Source organism: Homo sapiens, chromosome 21 (assembly GCF_000001405.40).
Source record: "Homo sapiens chromosome 21, GRCh38.p14 Primary Assembly".
NCBI lineage: Eukaryota > Metazoa > Chordata > Mammalia > Primates > Hominidae > Homo > Homo sapiens.
The window spans coordinates 33,243,608-33,261,151 of record NC_000021.9 but is presented as its reverse complement, the minus strand read 5'-3'; the positions used below and the strand labels follow the sequence as shown (position 1 = coordinate 33,261,151).

Sequence of the window (17,544 nt, the reverse complement as noted above, 5' to 3'; positions counted from 1 at the left end):
GGCACGAGAATTGCTTGAGCCTAGGAGGCAGAGGTTACAGTCAGCTGAGATCACGCCACTGTACTCCAGCCTGGGTGACAGAGTGAGACTGTCTCAAAAAAAAAAAAAAAAAAAAAGGAAAGAAAACATAAAATGCACAGATGCACAGATACACTTACAACTGCACATGTATATATATGTAACTAACCTGCACACTGTGCACATGTACCCTAAAACTTAAAAGTATAATAAAAACAAAAACAAAACAAAAACCCTGCAAAATATACATTTATAGATATGGAAAAGAACTCAGAGTGAGAAAGCATTTTGGTGTTTATAGAAAATGAGATTTTCTTCTGTGAAAATATTTATATAAATACAAATTCTTAAGTTAAAATAAAAAACAAAGATAGAAAAAACAAAACAAAACAAAAAAACTACCTACCAAGACTTTGGGGAGGCTATTTCTTAAGCATATATAACCAATCCATTTCAGTGTCACTATGGTGCTTGTCAAGACCAATGCTATCAAAAACACAGTAATTATTCCTCCTATTTTGGCAGATTCTGCTGATTCTGTTGATGAAAAATTAAATGACTTTATTTCAAAAAATGCAATAAACAATTGCAGATGGAAATAAATGTACATTGGCCTGGTGTTACAAGATGATCAAGAAACCAAAGGTTTGAAAAAACAGTTTTATATTGAGAAATACCAGAGACTGGAGAATTATCTAAGTGTGCATTTTTTAAACAATAAAATAGACTTAGCTTTTAAAAGTAAAATTTCCTTCAGTTTATGTTCTATAACTGCACTGTACAGTGGAGTAGCCACTGGCTGCAGCTGGCTGAATTTAAATGATTAAAATTAAACAGAATTAAGAGCTCGGTCTCTCAGTCACATGAAACACATCTCAAACGTTCGGTAGCCACACTGGTTAGCATGCGCTGCGGGCAGGAAGAAGTGGGGAAGGAAAGTTTGCTTGAAAACAACCAACTGGGTCATTCTGAGGCTGGACTTTAGCCACGCTGGGGCCACAAGTCAGGGCTCTGCAGAACCTGCCTTGCTCTATTAACAGTTCCCCTTAGTTTCTCATCAAAATTCCTTTTGGAAAATTTCAGCTTTTTGACTGACCATAGTTATTTTCCTGAAGTGCGACCAGACTGAAAAATCAGTAGTTATATCACTAAGGCTCTCTTGCACTTCCAGAAAGGTCTTCATTAGTATTAATCCTCGAACTATAGCCTCAGGCAAAAATAGATAGAGGGGAGAAAAAAGGAAATCAAATGGATTATGTACTCTAAGTCTTCCAGAAGGTTAAGGAATGAATAGAAAGAAGTTCAGTAAAAACCCTTGATAGTTCAGTAAAAACACTGTTAGATAGCACAGGGTTCAAGAATCCACTCTCACCTCCATCAAGAGTGTGAAGGATTGGATTGTCATATCAATGACAGTTCCAGAATCAGATCTAGCCACAGAGGCACGCCTTTAGGATACAAAATTCTGACATGTATAGCGTTTACATTCTTGAAAGGGGTACTGTAAACCAAAGTGATTTCACTGGTGAAGGAATGGCATAATACAGAGATTGTGACTCATGTACCCATCCAACTTGCATATAACAGCTACAATGCACTCTATGTCCAAACCAAATTGTGTAAATTGTAGTTAATATGCTAGGATAATATTCCTCAATTTGGGGTATTCTCATGAGTCTGAGAATTCTTTAGGAGAACTTAGAATTTTTGTTTGTTTTCAGCTTGATGATAATCTAAAAAATAGAAATCTCACTTGGGGTCATGACAATTATACATGCATGCTATTTTTAAATATTCATATTTGAAAAGAGATGAATCCCATCAATGTTCTGACTCAGAAAGGAGAAGCTGTGATTGAATGTTACTGCTGTTAACTATCTTCTTCATGAAAGATGGACCAGATCAACCCATCTTGGGAAGGAGAGACCAGGTCGTGTCTTAAAAATTTGGCCTTGGACAAACCTGTCTGTCTCTGGATTCACTGTGGAGATATTTTAAGCAAAAAATAAGAAACCTCACAAGCAGAGGGCTGAACTGAGCAACGGGGTTGGTAATATCTGATCACAATGATCTTTAATGGAAAAGATAAAGAACTTTATGAAAAGACTGGCGATGACTAACATCAGTCTCTTATAGTTCCTCCCGTACTTACCTCTCTGGAACAAGTAAGACCGCCTCTCCCCTGGGTGACTGCAGTAATCAGCCCAGGGGTCACCTGGCTCCCACTTCAAGGCATGTGGATGGATGTTCCCTTTACATCCCACGTCAGATCACGGAGAGCAACCTGCTCACAACCCTCTGAGGGTCCCCATCTCTTGCAACGGCTTCTAAGTTCTATGTCATTCAGGCTCCTCCATCTTTTCTGACCAGAACTGTTACTATTCTTCCCTTGTTCAGTTCACTCCTGCCGTGCCGTGCCAGGCATATCCTGCCTCGGGCACTTGGCACTTGCTGAACCCCGCATATGGAACTCCTTCCCCTGATAGGTTTGCGTGACTCACTCCCTCACCTTGTGTTTGTTTCCCATTGCCACCGTAACAAATGATGCAAAGTTAGTGTCATAAAACAATATAAATATATTATATTAATAGTTCTGGAGATCAGAAATCCAAAATGGGTTTCACTGGGATAAAAAATATCAAGATGTTGGCAGGACTGAACTCCTTATGGAGGCTCTAGGGGAAAACCCATTTCTTTGCCTTTCCCAGCTTCTAGAGGCCACTTGCATTCCTTTGCTCATGGCCCCCTCCTTCATCCTCACTCTGCGACCTCTGCTGCTGCTGTGAGAGCTCCTTCTCTGCCTCTGAGTCTCCTGCTTCTCTTTTTGTTGAGACACAGTCTTGCTCTGTAGCTCAGGCTGGAGTACAGTGGTACCATCTTGGCTCACTGCAACCCCCACCTCCCGGGTTCAAGAGATTCTCCTGCCTCAGCCTCCCAAGTAGCTGGGACTCCAGACGCATGCCACCACGCCTGGCTAATTTTTGTATTTTTAGTAGAGATGGGGTTTTACCACGTTGGCTAGGCTGAACTCGAACTCCTGACCTCAGGTGATTCACCTGGCTCGGCCCCCCAAAGTGCTGGAATTACAGGCATGAGCCACTGCGCCTGGCCAAGATCTTCAATTTCATCACACCCACAAGCCCCTTTGGCATAGAGGTTAGCCTGTTCACATATCTGGGATTAGGATGTAGACATCTTTGGGGGCCATTATTCTGCTTACCACATCTCCCTTGGGTCTTTATTCAAATGCTACCTTCTCAGGAAGGCCATCTGTGGCCATCTGTGGTGGATGCTGTGGGTGGCCTGCCCATGTCCCCTTTTCCAGTCAGTGCACACCCACTACTGCTGCCGCACGTGTCTGCTGATATCTCTCAGAGCTGATCCTTCTCTAAGTGAAAGGTGAGGCCAGCTGGACTTCCTGGGTGGAGTGAGGACTTAGGGAACTTTCTTGTCTTACAAGAGGATTGTAAAACGCACCAATCAGGGACTTTCCTGTCTCACAAGAGGATTGTAAAATGCACAAGTCAGCATTCTGTAAAACGCACCAATCAGCACTCTAAAACGCACCAATCAGCGCTCTGTAAAATGCACCAATCAGCAGGATCCTAAAAGTAGCCAATCACGAGGAGGACTGAAAAAAGGGCACTCTGATAGGACAGAAACGAACACGGGAAGGGACAATAAGGGAATAAAAGCTGGCCACCTCCAGCCAGCAGTGGCAACCCGCTCAGGTCCCCTTCCAGGGTGTGAAAGCTTTGTCCTTTCGCTCTTCACAATAAACCATGCTACTGCTCACTCTTTGGGTCTGTGCCATCTTTAAGAGCTGTTAACGCTCACCAGGAAGGTCTGCGGCTCCATTCTTGAAGTCAGCGAGACCACGAACCCATTGGCAGGAACCAACTCCGGACACATAAGGAACTGCCCTTGCCCAAAAGGGGGCTGCCTCATCTGGAGGCCATGCCATAGATCACCACCAGTAACTGACTGGCTGCTGACTTGAGGATACAGTTCACGCTTCCGAGAACCCCTTGGGATCAGGCTCAGCTGAGAGCCACATGCCTGCTTAATTTCTCTCTCCCTGTACCTACCTGTTCCCTCTTTCCCCTTCTCCTAAGATGCCCCCACCAATAAATCACACTTGAATATGAATTCACATCCCAGGCTCTGCTTCTAGCAAATGCAAATCAAGACACTATCCTATTAAAAACAGCAACCTGCTCTCCTCAACCTGACATCCCCCTCACCTCCTTTCCCGCATAATTTTTTTCCATGGTACTTACTTAACATACTGTCTATTTTACATGTTGATCTTGTTATTCTGTCTCCTACTGCAATGTAAGCTCCACAAGGTGAGAAGTTTTTAATCTGTTTTGTTCACTGCTAAATCCTCAATATCCAGAAAAGAATCTGGCTCATAACAGGCCCCCAATAAACATTTGTCAAATGAATGAATAGAGCTTTTCCTTAGGGCCTTAATATTAATAAAAGAGACAAACCATTAGTTTTAAGGCTTGACAAGGGGAAGGTGTTTCTCCAGATGTCTGGGCTAAAATCCCCCCATATCAGTCTGCCCTAGGATTGGGTCACAGTGCTTACTGCTGAGCCTATGTTAATGCTGGTCTCAGGCTATCCTTCCAAGACCCCTCACCATCCAAACCTGTCTGGTTTCTGAGTTTGGCTGGTTGAGGGCACGTCAGATGGCAAGCAGATAGTGACAGAGGCCACGTTATCTGAACCTATTTGCTTCCTGAGTTTCAAACAAGAATTTGACATCAGGTACAGTATTTGGATAATTAAAGAGAGCGGTACTTGACCTATCTCGGGTAATAATCAAAGAATGAGGGCTGACTTGATGTGCAACATGACGCATTCACGCCAAGTAAAAATGGAATGACCTGAGAGGATGTTGTTACATGAACATCTTAGTAGGTGAAATGGAAAAGAGTCAGGGGAGAAAGTGAGTCATCACAGAATTCATCAACCTCCAAGGAGCTTGTGCCTTCTCATCAGCAACACATTCACCTTGGAACTGGGGACTGAGTTTCAATAAACCACCATCTGTCTGCCAGGTCACTAATTTCAGTTTTTATTGTCTATAAGAGTTTCGTTTGTATGTAAGATCAATGATATAATAAAATATACATATATATCCAGTCTTTGTCCCTAGTTCCTGGAGCAGAGCTTCAAAAACCTGTGGAATTTCCTGAACGTTAGGAGTGTCTTTTGTTAACAAGCCTCTTTTAGGGGCCACATATGAGTTTATGCTTGTGAGGTGATGGGGCAGGGTGTGGATAGCTTCAGGATGAGGGCTGGTCCCTAGAAAAACTAACCACATGATCAGACGGTTGGAACTTCCAGCTCCCCCATTTGACCTCTATCCAAGGAGGGGAGTGGGCTGGAGACTGAGTTCAATCCTGCAGCCAGTAATTTAATCAATCACACATACATAATGAAACCCAATACAAACTGTGAACACCAAGGGTTGGGGAGTCCCCAAATTCATGAACAGATGAATGTACAGAGAGGGTGGTACACCTGACTCCCCAGGGACAGAAGCTCCTGCACTTGGGACCCTTTCAGACCTTGTCCTGTGCACCTCTTCAATGGCTGTCCATCAATTCCTTTATAATAAAATGGTAATCATAAGCCATAACACTTTCCTGAGTTCTGTGAGTCATTTTAGCAAATTATCAAACCTAAAGGGAGGTCATGGGAACTCCTGAATTTGTAGCCAAGTCAGGTGGAAGTGCAGGGAACCTTGTCACCCATGACTTGTGGCTGGCATCTGAAGTGGGGGCAGGCAGTTTTGTGGGACTGAGCCTTTAACCTGTGGGGTCTGTGCTAACCTGGGGTAGTATCAGAAATGAATGGAATCATTGGACAACTAGTTAGTGTCAGATAGCTGGTGTTAGAACAAAGACATGCACATTTATTTTGGATTTATATTTTTGAAAGAGCTATAGTCAGAATCTATATGCAGTTTTAAGTTTGCCTGTATTTGCTGACATAAAAATAACTTACGCTAAAGGTGTTTGACATGTTTTTTCCTTTAGAACCAGCCTGTGCATCATCTGGTCTTGAGGAACACTAGAGAATCAAATCATATTGCCCTGTAGTGAAGCCAACACAGAGCACCGTTATGTGCCAGGCAACGTTCCGTGGCTCACTTCATTCACAAGTGACCATATCACTTTGTCAATGAAAAGAGCCAAAGTCAGTAACATACTTGAAGAGATTCAGTCTGAGTCAAATATGAGTGACCAATGGCCCATGACACAGCCCCAGGAGATCCCGAGAACCCTTGGTCAGGGTGCAGCTTGGTTTTATACATTTTAGGGAGACATAAGGCATCAATCAATGCATGTAAGATGTACACTGGTTCAATCTGGAAAGGTGGGACAATTCGAAGTGGGGGGGCTTCCAGGTCATAGGTAGATTCAAAGATTTTCTGATTAAAAACTTGGAATTAATAAAAGGAAGCATCTGGGTTAAGACAAAGGGTTGCGGAGGCCACGGTTCCTATTACGCAGATGAAGCCTCTGGTAGCAGGCTTCAGAGAGAACAGACTGTAAATGTTTCTTACTGGACTTAAAAAAGTGCCAGACTCTTAGTGAATTCTCTCTTGGATCAGGAAGAACACCTGGACTGGGAAGGGGGTTCTTTATAGAAAGCAGATTTTCCCTGCAAGAGACAGCTTTGCAGGGCCATTTCAAAATATGTCAAAGAAATGTATTTTGGGGTAAAACACTTTGGTTTCTTTTAGGGCCTGCTATCCATCATGCTGGTATTAGTGCTACAAAGCATCTTTTTGTCAGTCTTAAGGTTTCTGTTTTAATATTAGTGCTGGCCAGCTGTGCCTGAATTCCAAAGGTAGGAAGGTCCCGTGAGGCACGTCTGGACCACTCACTCCCATCATGGCCTGAACTAGTGTTTCAGGTTTACTTTACTTTACTCGGCCCTTGGCTGAGAGGAGGGATCCATTCAGTTGGTTGGGGGGCTTAGAATTTTATTTTGGTTTACAACTAAAGTAATTTCTTTATAGATCCTACCTTATTTTTATTCTGGTAAATCAGAACATTAAAGATACTTCCATTGGTGTCAGAGGCATTTGAGCCAGAGCAACTCCATCTTGAGCTGGGTAAAATGGGGCTGGGACCTACTGGGCTGCATTCCCAGACAGTCTAGGCATTGTAACTTACAGGATGAGATAGGGGGTTGGCACAAGATACCGTTGGTAAAGACCTTGCTGATAAAACAGATGGCAGTAAAGCCGGCCAAAACCCACCAAAACCAAGATGGTCGTCCTCACTGCCACACTCTCACCAGCACCATGAGTTTACAAATGCCATGGCAATGTGAGGAAGTTACCCTACATGGTCTAAAAAGGGGAGGCATGAATAATCCACCCCTTGTTTAGCATATCATCAAGAAATAATCATAAAAATGGGCAACCAGCAGCCCTCGGGGCTGCTCTGTCTATAGAGTAGTCATTCTTTACTCCTTTACTTTCCTAATAAACTTGCTTTCACTTTACGGACTCGCTCTGAATTCTTTCTTGCGCAAGATCCAAGAACCCTCTCTTGGGGTATGGATTGGGACCTCTTTCCCCTAACACTGCGGTTGGGACATTTAGAAGGGCTTCTTTGAGGGAGACTTGCATAGCTTCTCACTTTTGGTAAAACAGGTGGAAACTTGGCTACTTCCTGAGAAAACAATCAGCAGGGAGTTCCGAGGCTTGATTGTTCTCACTCCAAAGGGGAAGAAGGTTTGGGATCACACTGTTTATTGTTCTGATGTCTGTGTAACAGAAAGGTGTTCAGCCTTCATCAGTGATTTTCTCGTACACCCTGGCAAGGGTTCCTTTCATCTATGAGCGAGAGCTGATGCCAGATCACATCCATGAACTGCACCCAACCTCGCTGCTTCCACCTTTTCACCCCTTAATGCCACTGTATACCACTGTCTCAAGCAACTCCACCTCTTCTGGCATTTGGCTTCAGCAATGGCCACACAAAGGGCACACAGTGCTGAATTTAATCCTGACTCCCTGAAACAAAAGCGTTTCCATTTCAAGATTTCTGATCTCATCGAGTAGTATCTGATTGTTTTTTGGTATGACAATATAAAAGTGACTCTACCAGATCATACACACGAACCAACAGAAAACATCTCTGTGAGGTGTTTACTGGAAGAAAGACCTTTAGTGCTCCATGAATTCTTTTCAGATTCTTTTCTTTAAATAGGCTTGCCCTCAGAGTAAAAGCATGAATACTCAAAACATGAATTTAAAAAAATGAACATACCTGATTCCTGGCCAGGTGGAAGGAGGGTGCATTTTAAGGGAGACTTTATTACTGCTTGCTCATCACTGTGCTCTAAATAAACAGATACACAGTAGTTCGTGTTTGGAATTAACTTGTCAATGATATAGGTGAAATTTCCACTCATGTTTCCTTTTATTTCGGGTTTATGCTGTAAACATAAGCAAAAAATCAGTAAGACTGAGAATTTCATTTAGAGGTAGGCCTTAATCTCTTTTGGGATTTGTCTTCAAATCTCAAACAGGGTTAGATTTATCACAGGCTTGGTAAGAAAAAGGATTTATAAGTCATCTGGAGCAAGTAATTTATCAGAAAACTACACCTACATGCACTTTTAATATACACCTGCACACACACATATTTTATAACCATGACATCTAGTCTAGCGCCTTCATTTTACAAATGAGATAAAAGTCTTCAAAGAGGAATAAAAGTCTCTGTGACGTCATTTTTACAAGATTATCTTCTCTCATGGACAGTGTGTGTCTACTTTACACTTGAGAAAGTGCCTTCATAAACATTAACCCTTTTGACTTTCAAAACAGTCTGCAAAATAGGCATTACCTCCATTCAACGGATGAGAAAACTGTAGCTCAGTGTGGCTAAGTAACTTCTCCAAGGTCACAGAGCTTGTCTGTGACAAAACTGACTGATGTCTAGTTTCTCATCTTCTCCCTTTATCAATAGACAGATATAGATAGATAGATAGATAGATAGATAGATAGATAGATGGATGGGGTCTCACTCTGTTGCCCAGGCTGGAGTGCAGTGGCATGATCTTGGCTCACTGCAACCTCCACCTCCTGGGTTCAAGAGATTCTCTTGCCTCAGTCTCCTGAGTAGCTGGGATTACAGATGCCCGCCACCATGCCTGGCTAATTTTTGTATTTTTAGTAGAGATGGGGTTTCACCATGTTGGCCACGCTGGTCTTGAACTCCTGACCGCAAGCGATCTGCCTGCCTTGGCCTTCCAAAGTGCTGGGATTACAGGCGTAAGCCACTGTGCCCAGCCATCTCCCTTTAAACACCTTGCCTCTTCTTTCCTGTAGTTGCATTTCACTTCAGAATTTAAAAGATGATATGAAGGCTCTTTCATGAATAATAACTTTTGTATCATGTTTTACAGTTTTTAAAATACATTCTTACTAGCAGTTTAATAAATGAGGATTCCTAGCAGCTCAAATACAGCCTTCAGTAATGATGTTTTTCTGTAAATTTCTGTTTGGGAGGAGGAGTTAGTAAACAAACAAACTTACGACCCAACAAACTAAAAGCTTCCCCTCCAGTGGCCAGCACACAATCTCCTTCCCTGTTTGGAAAAATTCCTTGGAAGAATGAGCTCTCTTCACTGTCTCCAATTTTTCTCCTCCCACTCTTTCTTGAATCTACTCCAACCAGCTCTTTGCCCCTAACTCTATTAAAACTACTTTTATCAAGGACACAATGTTGCTAAATCCAATAGTCAGTCCTCTTCAATTGTCCCATTTACAGCACTGGACTCAGTAGACCACTTTCACCTTCTGGAAAGTTCTTCTCTCAGCTACCGGGACATCACTCTCACCTGCTTCTCTCCCTACCATGCTGGTTGCTCTTTCTCAGTCGATTTTGCTGTTTCTTCCTCATTTGCCAGATCTCCAAATTTTGGAATGTTCCTGGGCTCTGTCACTGGATGTCTTGTTTTCTCTCTGAGTGTCTATTCCCAGGTGACCTCATCTGGTCTTAGGGCATTCAACATGCACCAAGAAGCCAGTGACTCCCAGGCTCTCTCTCTAGCTGCGGGTTCTCTCCTGGACAACAGACTGGCACATCCAGCTCCTTCCCCACGTCTCCTCCTAGATTCCTTACGGACACCTGGAATTTAACATGTCCCAAACCCTCTAACCCTATCTAACCCTCACCTGCTTCATTCATCATCTTCCATAGTTAATGGGGAAGTTAGTCTTGCTCCACATGCAAAATATATGCAGAATTATGAGCTGGGCATGGTGGCTCATGCTTGTAATCCCAACACTTTGGGAGGCTGAGGTGGGTGGATCGCCTGAGGTCAGGAGTTCAACACCAGCCTGGCCAACACAGTGAAACCCTGTCTCTACTAAAAATACAAAAAATTATCTGGGTGTGCTGGCGGGTGCCTGTAATCCCAGCTACTAGGGAGGCTGAGGCAGGAGAATGGCTTGAACCCGGGAGGCGGAGGTTGCAGTGAGCCAAGATCATGCCATTTCAGTCCAGCCTGGGCAACAAGAGCAAAACTCCATCTCAAAAACAAACAAACAAAACCCAAAATATATGCAGAATTTGATGGCCTCTCACTACTCATTACCCCTCTACTATCAAGGTCCAAGCCACCACCATCTGTTGCTTAGATTATACTAGTAGCTTATTTTTTTTTCTGGATTTAAAGGCTAATTTTCCTTATGAAGAAGATGCCTATTAACTACAGTTTTTCCTCTTATAGAGTAGTCAATATCCTAATAAGCAACAGTCTCTTATTTTAGGAATCATAATCTAAAACATAGAGTTAGTTGCTTATGGGGTGAACACAAACGAGACATGATTGAAACAGATTTAATGACACTCCACATAGTCCTTAGGCCACATAAACTTATTTTTCACCCATTTTTGCTCCTTTTCCTAGAGTACTGATTATAATCCATGTCGATATTAAAAGAAAAATGATAATAATCATATAATTTGTTACTGCCTCTTAAGTGACTGCCACCCTGGATTGTGTCTTAGTTGGTCTCCTAACTCCCATCTTTGCCCCTGTGGTCTATTTTTAACAGCCCAGCCAGGATGCTCTGTTAAGCCTTGGGTTCCACAGGCTTCCATCACACTCAGAAGACCCAGACCCACAAACTCCTACCAGGTCCAGCCACATTTACCCTCTGACCTCACCTCCTCTTCATCTCCTGCCTGGTCACTCCAGTTCAGCCACCTCTCCTCGCTGTTGCTGAAATACACCGGGCCCACTCCAGCCTCAGAGCCTTTGAACTTCCTGTGCCCTCCGCCTGAAATGCATCTACCCTGATTATCTCTCAGGCTGGTCTCACTTGCAAGGGTTTTATACTTGGCAAAGGGCTCTACAGACATAAGCTGCTGCTACACCGGTGAGAGCAATTTGTCCATTTCCACTTATTCCAGCATTTGGAGGGCTAGGGACAACAAAAATTGAAGATGCAGGGCTGTCTGATACCAGATAACCCTGAGGTTACTGAGAGTCAGGTCCTTTGCAGAAATTAGGAGAGGACAGAACCTGCCAGATAAGCCACTTCCTTACTGTGTGTGAGGGCCAGAGAGGCAGCGACAGATGCTTTTCACGGGTGGCTCAGCTAAACTCTCCTTTTCAAATAAATCTCTCCAGGGTTCACTGAAATTTGGCTGTACTCTGCATCTCCCTCCCACACCCTCTCTCCTGTGTGTTCCTTGATGTTGTGCATGTGGCTTACTCTTTTTTTTTTTTTTTTTTTTTGAGACGGAGTCTTGCTCTGTCACCCAGGCTGGAACACAATGGTGCGATCTCGGCTCACTGCAACCTCTGCCTCCTAGGTTCAAGCGATTATCCTGCCTCAGCCTCCGGAGTAGCTAGGATTACAGATGCCTGCCACCACATCCAGCTAATGTTTGTATTTTTAGTAGAGATGGGGTTTCACCATATTGGCCAGGCTGGTCTCAAACTCCTGACCTTAGATGATCTGCCCGCCTCGGCCTCCCAAAGTGCTGGGATTATAGGCGTGAGCCACCAGGCCCAGCCGTGGCTTATTCTTTTAAAGAACACTGTGCTGCAGGTTTAGATCAATAGTGAATGAACCATAGTGACTTCTTCCCTAAGTCGGACCATACTGAAGCCTGACGTTTTAGCTTTAATTGTTCAACTGCAAATTTCCTTTCAAAAGAGACAGTCAAGTGCATTGATTGCCCACTCAGAACTGTTTTGATCCTAACAGGAGAAGCCACTTACCTTCTTAACAATTCCCTCTGACTGTTCTTCAATGACGAGAGATAAATCAAACTGTAATTCTTCCTCAACAATAGATGGAAATTTCACCATCACATTAATGTGGTTGGTAAAACCAACAATCTCAAACTCTGGTGGTTCAAAAGACACTGTGCAAAAAACAAAAACAGACAGGAATATGTCACAGAGACCATATGTGGCCCACAAAGTCTAAAGTGGTTCTTCTCTGGCCCTGTATAGAAAATCTGCCAAGTCCTGATTTACATCATAATTTTTCATTGCTAATGCTATTCCACTAAGTGACTGTATCATGATTTAACTGATTCACTGTTTTGAACATTTAAATTGTCTCTGATTTTTATTAAAGACTTAATGTATCATGGGATATTCTTGGAACTAAATTTTTGCATTTGTCCTTAATAATTTCTTTCTTTCTTTTCTCTTTCTCTCTCTCTCTCTCCCCCCCTCCCTCCCTCCCCCCTAACTTTCTTTCTTTCTCTCTTTCTTTTTTAATGTAGACATAGGGTTTCCCCATGTTGCTCGGGCTGGTCTTGAACTCCTGAGCTCAAGTGATACACTGGTCTAGGCCTCCCAAAGTGCTGGGATTACAGGTGTGAGCCACTGTGCCTGGCCTTAATAATTTCTTTGGGACAAATTACTAAAGAATTCTGGATTAGAGTAAGCACATGTTAAGGTTTTTAATACATGCTGCCAATTACTTCAGATGGACCATGCCAAAGCACACTCTTTGTATTCCCTCTAAACCTGGATATTTATGTATTTTTCATATTTATCATTTGAGCCATGAAACATATCTCACTGTTACTTTAATATGCATTCTTTAACAACCCAAATACCATGAACTATAAATTCTGATTTTCTTTCTTTTCTGTGTGTACACACAGATGTCTGTTTATACACATACGTAAACATGCACACAAATCCAGCAAATGTCGTATCCGAATTGTTTGCCACAGGGGGATTCAGTTATCCTTACCACTTTGCTAATCATGTATGAGCACGTGCACACCCGCATAGCCTACAACAGGAAGCTGAGACCAGATGGTTCTCTTGGAAACTCGTTGTAAAGTGGGAAATTGAAAAAGTAACACAGCTGGGGCTGTTAACACAGTGTGTTAGGGAACTGACTTGAGTCACAGGGAAAGAAAGAAGGGGTAGGCCTGTTCTTGGGGTCTAGTCTTCTCCTCTGAGCTTTGGGTACTAGGTGCATGCACACTTGGTGTTCACACACAAAAGAACATTGGGTTATAATGAGGGGGTGGAGTTGCTGTATTAAGAAAACACTGGGGCCAGGTGTGGTGGCTCATGCTTGTAACCTCAGCACCTTGGCAGGCTGAGGCGGGTGGATCACTTGAGGTCAGGAGTTCGAGACTAGCCTGGCCAACATGGTGAAACATTTCTACTAAAAGTACAAAAAATGAGCCAGGTATGGTGGTGTGTGCTTGTAATCCCAGCTACTCTGGAGGCTGAGGTGGGAGAATCGCTTGAACCTGGAAGGTGGAGGTTGCAGTGAGCGAAGATCGCACCACTGCACTCTAGCCTAGGTGACAGAGTGAAACTCCATCTCAAAAAAAAAAAAAAAGAAAGAAAGAAAGAAAGAAAGAAAATCCTGGGCCAGAGAGATGAGAGCGCTAGATCCAGCCCACCTGAACCTGGCTCCAGACTTCCTGTCAGGCTGCAAAACCGAAAACAGCAGTTCCTACTGCCTTATACAGGCACGGGGCAAATCTGCAAAGTACAAATTATCATTCCACTTTTCAGATTTAGAAAACCAAGGCTCAGAGAAGCAAAGCAGTCCACGGTTACAGAGCTAGGAAGTGGCAGGGCCAAGAGGTGAGCCCAGCCCCAGGTCTAAAACACCTTTGTAGACCTCCTATTTCATGGAATAGCAAATAATAAAGATCTTGATGATGGGGACGAAGTGGAGAAACAGAGATAAAACTCACTGTCTATGGCCAGCCAGAAATTGTGTGAGCAACTGAACAACGTTGTGTTCCCGCTGAATCCTTCTAGGACGGTGACATAGGCCTCGTGTGTGCTTCTCCACTCATCTGTGAGGTCACAAAATGATCTTGTGGTATTTGCACAGTTCTTAACCACCTTCAAATCTTCTGGTTTACTTTGGAAAGAAAAAAATGGAAAAAGGAAATTGTTAGCATTGATGTAATGAGAGTCTATTTTTGGGCGCCTTACTTCATTGTTTCCTTTAGGGCTCTGCCCAAATATCATTGTATTAAGTGATCTTCCCCAACCATCTTATTGAAAATGGAACATCTTATGCCCTCCCCACCCCTGCACTTTCAATCCCTCTCTTTTCTTGATTGTAGCATTTACCCACACCTGTCACATTATACCTTTGTTTACTGATGTCTCCATTTACATAATGTCTGCTCCAGGAGGGCAGGGACTTTGGTTCACAGTTGGACCCCCTGGCATGTAGTAGGTGCTCAGTAAAACTTGCCGGAGGAGCCGGGTGCAGTGGCTCACGTCTGTAATCCCAGCACTTTGGGAGGCCAAGGCGGGCGGATCACGAGGTCAGGAGATTGAGACCATCCTGGCTAACATGGTGAAACCCCGTCTCTACTAAAAATACAAAAAATTAGCTGGGCGTGGTGGCGGGCGCCTGTAGTCCCAGCTACTTGGGAGGCTGAGGCAGGAGAATGGCGTGAACCCGGGAGGTGGAGCTTGCAGTGAGCCAAGATCGTACCAGTGCACTCCAGCCTTGGTGACACAGTGAGACTCCGTCTCAAAAAAAAAAAAAAAATTGCCGGATGAGTAAATGAATGAATGAAACTTGGGCCCTCATGGTGGAAGCCTCAGATCTCCCTTCCTCTATGGGACAATTATGAATGCCTTCCCTGAGACCCCCTCCCTCTCTGGCTAAGACTAGATGATCCAGTCCTAAGTCAGACCTGGGCTATTTCAGGGACAATGCAGATATCTCATCTACCAAGCTTCAGTTAGTTGGATGATACATGTGACCACTCAATGCAGAGAAAAACTTTTTAGCAGGCACCGAAGAGAAACTCACAAGAGGTCTCCCACTGGCTCAGTCAATAAGCAGTAGCAGCAGCAGCTCTAGGCCAAATAAATAACCATCAAAAGGACACTCCAAGGGGCTGCTGGATCAAAGCAATGACTTCTAAGGGCGATTGGTAGGTGTGGGAAGACAAAAGACAAGCAGGACTCCATCCATTATGTCACGAATCCTTGCAGCAACCCCTCAGCAGAGGCATTAGCTTAGGGGCTGAGGTCCGTGCCAAGTGTCAAGCTGGTTAGTGACCAAACCAGACTATGGACCCAGGCCTGTCCCAGACTAGGCCAGGCAGCTTTCTGGTGTCCCACCAGAGTAAAGAAAAGTGAACATAAACCATCAATATGGTCAATAGACCTTTGGATTCCTGTCCTCAGATAACAGGACTTTTAAACATTCAGACTGACTGAATTAGAGAAATCATTGCCTAACCCATACACAAGAATTATTTTGTATGTGAGGTTCTGACCTGTAGAAATTGGCTTTGATGACACATACAAGCTTTGTCAAAATAGATTTGGATTATTAAAGTATTCAACTGAATTAAAAATGGATGTGTGATGGTGTTTTGTCTTTGGCTTTTTAAGGCTCTGAATAAGAAACGCAGAGAGAAGGAGAGGTAGATAGGAAAAGGGAGAGGGAGAGACAGAGAGAGAGAAAAGATCACCTCTCCCCATATAACAGAACAATAATATGTTTACCAAGAGAAAATGAAATATCAAACCAACCTCATGATTGTATACAGCAATGTATAGTGAGTTGGTACAATGGAGTGGTTTTTTAATTCCCATGATAAGATGGACCGGAAATTTCGCAATGATATCTTGAAAGTGCAAGATTCATCTGTGTAATCTAAAGAGAAGAAGAAAAAGGGCATTGAAATTTGGAACCCACAGTTGTATTCTGGCCACTGTTCAGTCATTTCTTGGGATCTAGAACCCACACCTCTGGCAGATAACCTCTCCAGAGAGCCCTGGTGTCTTGAAAACAGGAAGTCTACAGGACATGGGAAATAAATTAGTAAGTCAATTAACGAGCAACATATTGTCAGGGCAGGCAAGCATGGGAAACAGGGACTGTGCACTGTGTAAGGAGAGTCTGGACAGAAGGGCTTCTCCGATGCCCTTGGACTGTCCCTCCATGGTTCACTGGACCAAAATAACCCAGGCCATCCCAGCCCACATGATGCACTTCCTTTCACTCTCCCCTACCCATTCTCCCTCCCCAAGCCGTTCTCTCAACTCTGCTCCCAGCTCCTCCATGAAGTCCTCCTTAAGTAGCTCAGCCCGCTGCAAATTTTCCTTCCTCTGGATTCCCCAGCTCACTTATTCCCTGGATCACAGAGAGCAGGGGAGTATAACATGAGCCCAGACTGGCCCTTTCTAAGCATTTAAGCCCCACAACAATGCTGAAGTAGGCACTATGAAAAGATTCATTTTACAGACTGTGAAACTGAGTTGAATTATACAATGTCATGTAGGTGGGAAGTGGCAGTGATAAATGAGACATTAAAGCCAGACTTGCCAAATTCTGCCTTATACGGTTAAATTTTTAAAGATCACTGAAGTTTCCTGTGGTTAGGACTCAGGCCTTTGTTTCTCAACTGCCAACTCTTCACCCCCAACCAACACTTAGCACAAGGTTGGACACATATTTAATACTTAGTGAAGTTTTGTGGACAGATTTATATACGTAGGAAGAAGTTTAGTTAAAAAAAAATTATTGTCCTTTGTCTGGAATCATCAGGGTGGAAGAATGTAAATTAAAGAGTAAATATTTCTGGGCCATTTTTTATTTGGCACAGTCTGTGTCTCCTCATTCTTTTATTAGTGAGATTATTAAGAGTTTGAATATTCTTTAAAGAAGTTTAAAAATGATCTCTAGTGTTCATTTCTTAGACTAGTTTTGTATCTCTCAAAAAACCAGAGTTAGCTCATTTTAGCTCCTTTTACAGAGAAAGAATCCCAATAAAACAGGCAACAGATGTACAATCAGAAATCAAATCTCCCACATTTTATACCTCTGAATGGTTGCCCCAACACTTTCACTCTTATACAAAATTTAGTGAAGCCAAAAAACATCTCTTACCAGGCGAATCATATGAAATACCAAACACGAGGCTGATATACACTAGAAGGAAGAAAACACATTAGAGAGGCAATAGTTTTATCTGGGCTCAACTTGCAATGATTACT

The 17,544-nt window shown here is 43.2% G+C and overlaps 2 protein-coding genes across 9 annotated transcripts in view, besides 1 other annotated feature; both read right to left on the bottom strand.

The window, feature by feature from the left end:
* Window positions 1-17,544, bottom strand: part of IFNAR2-IL10RB (IFNAR2-IL10RB readthrough) — a 67,284-nt gene that overhangs the window by 36,070 nt on the left and 13,670 nt on the right. The window contains exons 3-7 of the mRNA NM_001414505.1: window positions 17,438-17,479; window positions 16,078-16,201; window positions 14,262-14,434; window positions 12,298-12,443; window positions 8,322-8,490 (exon numbers count right to left, since the gene is read on the bottom strand). Of these exons, the coding sequence (NP_001401434.1) occupies window positions 8,322-8,490; window positions 12,298-12,443; window positions 14,262-14,434; window positions 16,078-16,201; window positions 17,438-17,479 (654 nt within the window). The remainder of the gene's footprint in view (window positions 1-8,321; window positions 8,491-12,297; window positions 12,444-14,261; window positions 14,435-16,077; window positions 16,202-17,437; window positions 17,480-17,544) is intronic.
* Window positions 1-17,544, bottom strand: part of IFNAR2 (interferon alpha and beta receptor subunit 2) — a 35,727-nt gene that overhangs the window by 4,513 nt on the left and 13,670 nt on the right. For 5 of the 8 annotated variants that reach the window (NM_000874.5, NM_001289125.3, NM_207584.3 and 2 more), the window contains exons 3-8: window positions 17,438-17,479; window positions 16,078-16,201; window positions 14,262-14,434; window positions 12,298-12,443; window positions 8,322-8,490; window positions 425-555 (exon numbers count right to left, since the gene is read on the bottom strand). In NM_000874.5, the coding sequence (NP_000865.2) occupies window positions 425-555; window positions 8,322-8,490; window positions 12,298-12,443; window positions 14,262-14,434; window positions 16,078-16,201; window positions 17,438-17,479 (785 nt within the window). The remainder of the gene's footprint in view (window positions 1-424; window positions 556-8,321; window positions 8,491-12,297; window positions 12,444-14,261; window positions 14,435-16,077; window positions 16,202-17,437; window positions 17,480-17,544) is intronic. The other 3 variants (NM_001289128.2, NM_001385054.1, NM_001289126.2) reach the window with 1 other exon arrangement.
* Window positions 15,122-15,721: an enhancer, noted in NCBI's record as "NANOG hESC enhancer chr21:34617736-34618335 (GRCh37/hg19 assembly coordinates)". NCBI's record gives its function as "activates a minimal SCP1, AML or CMV promoter by ChIP-STARR-seq in naive H9 embryonic stem cells {active_cell/tissue: H9 hESC(naive)}" and the evidence as "EXISTENCE:reporter gene assay evidence [ECO:0000049][PMID:30033119]".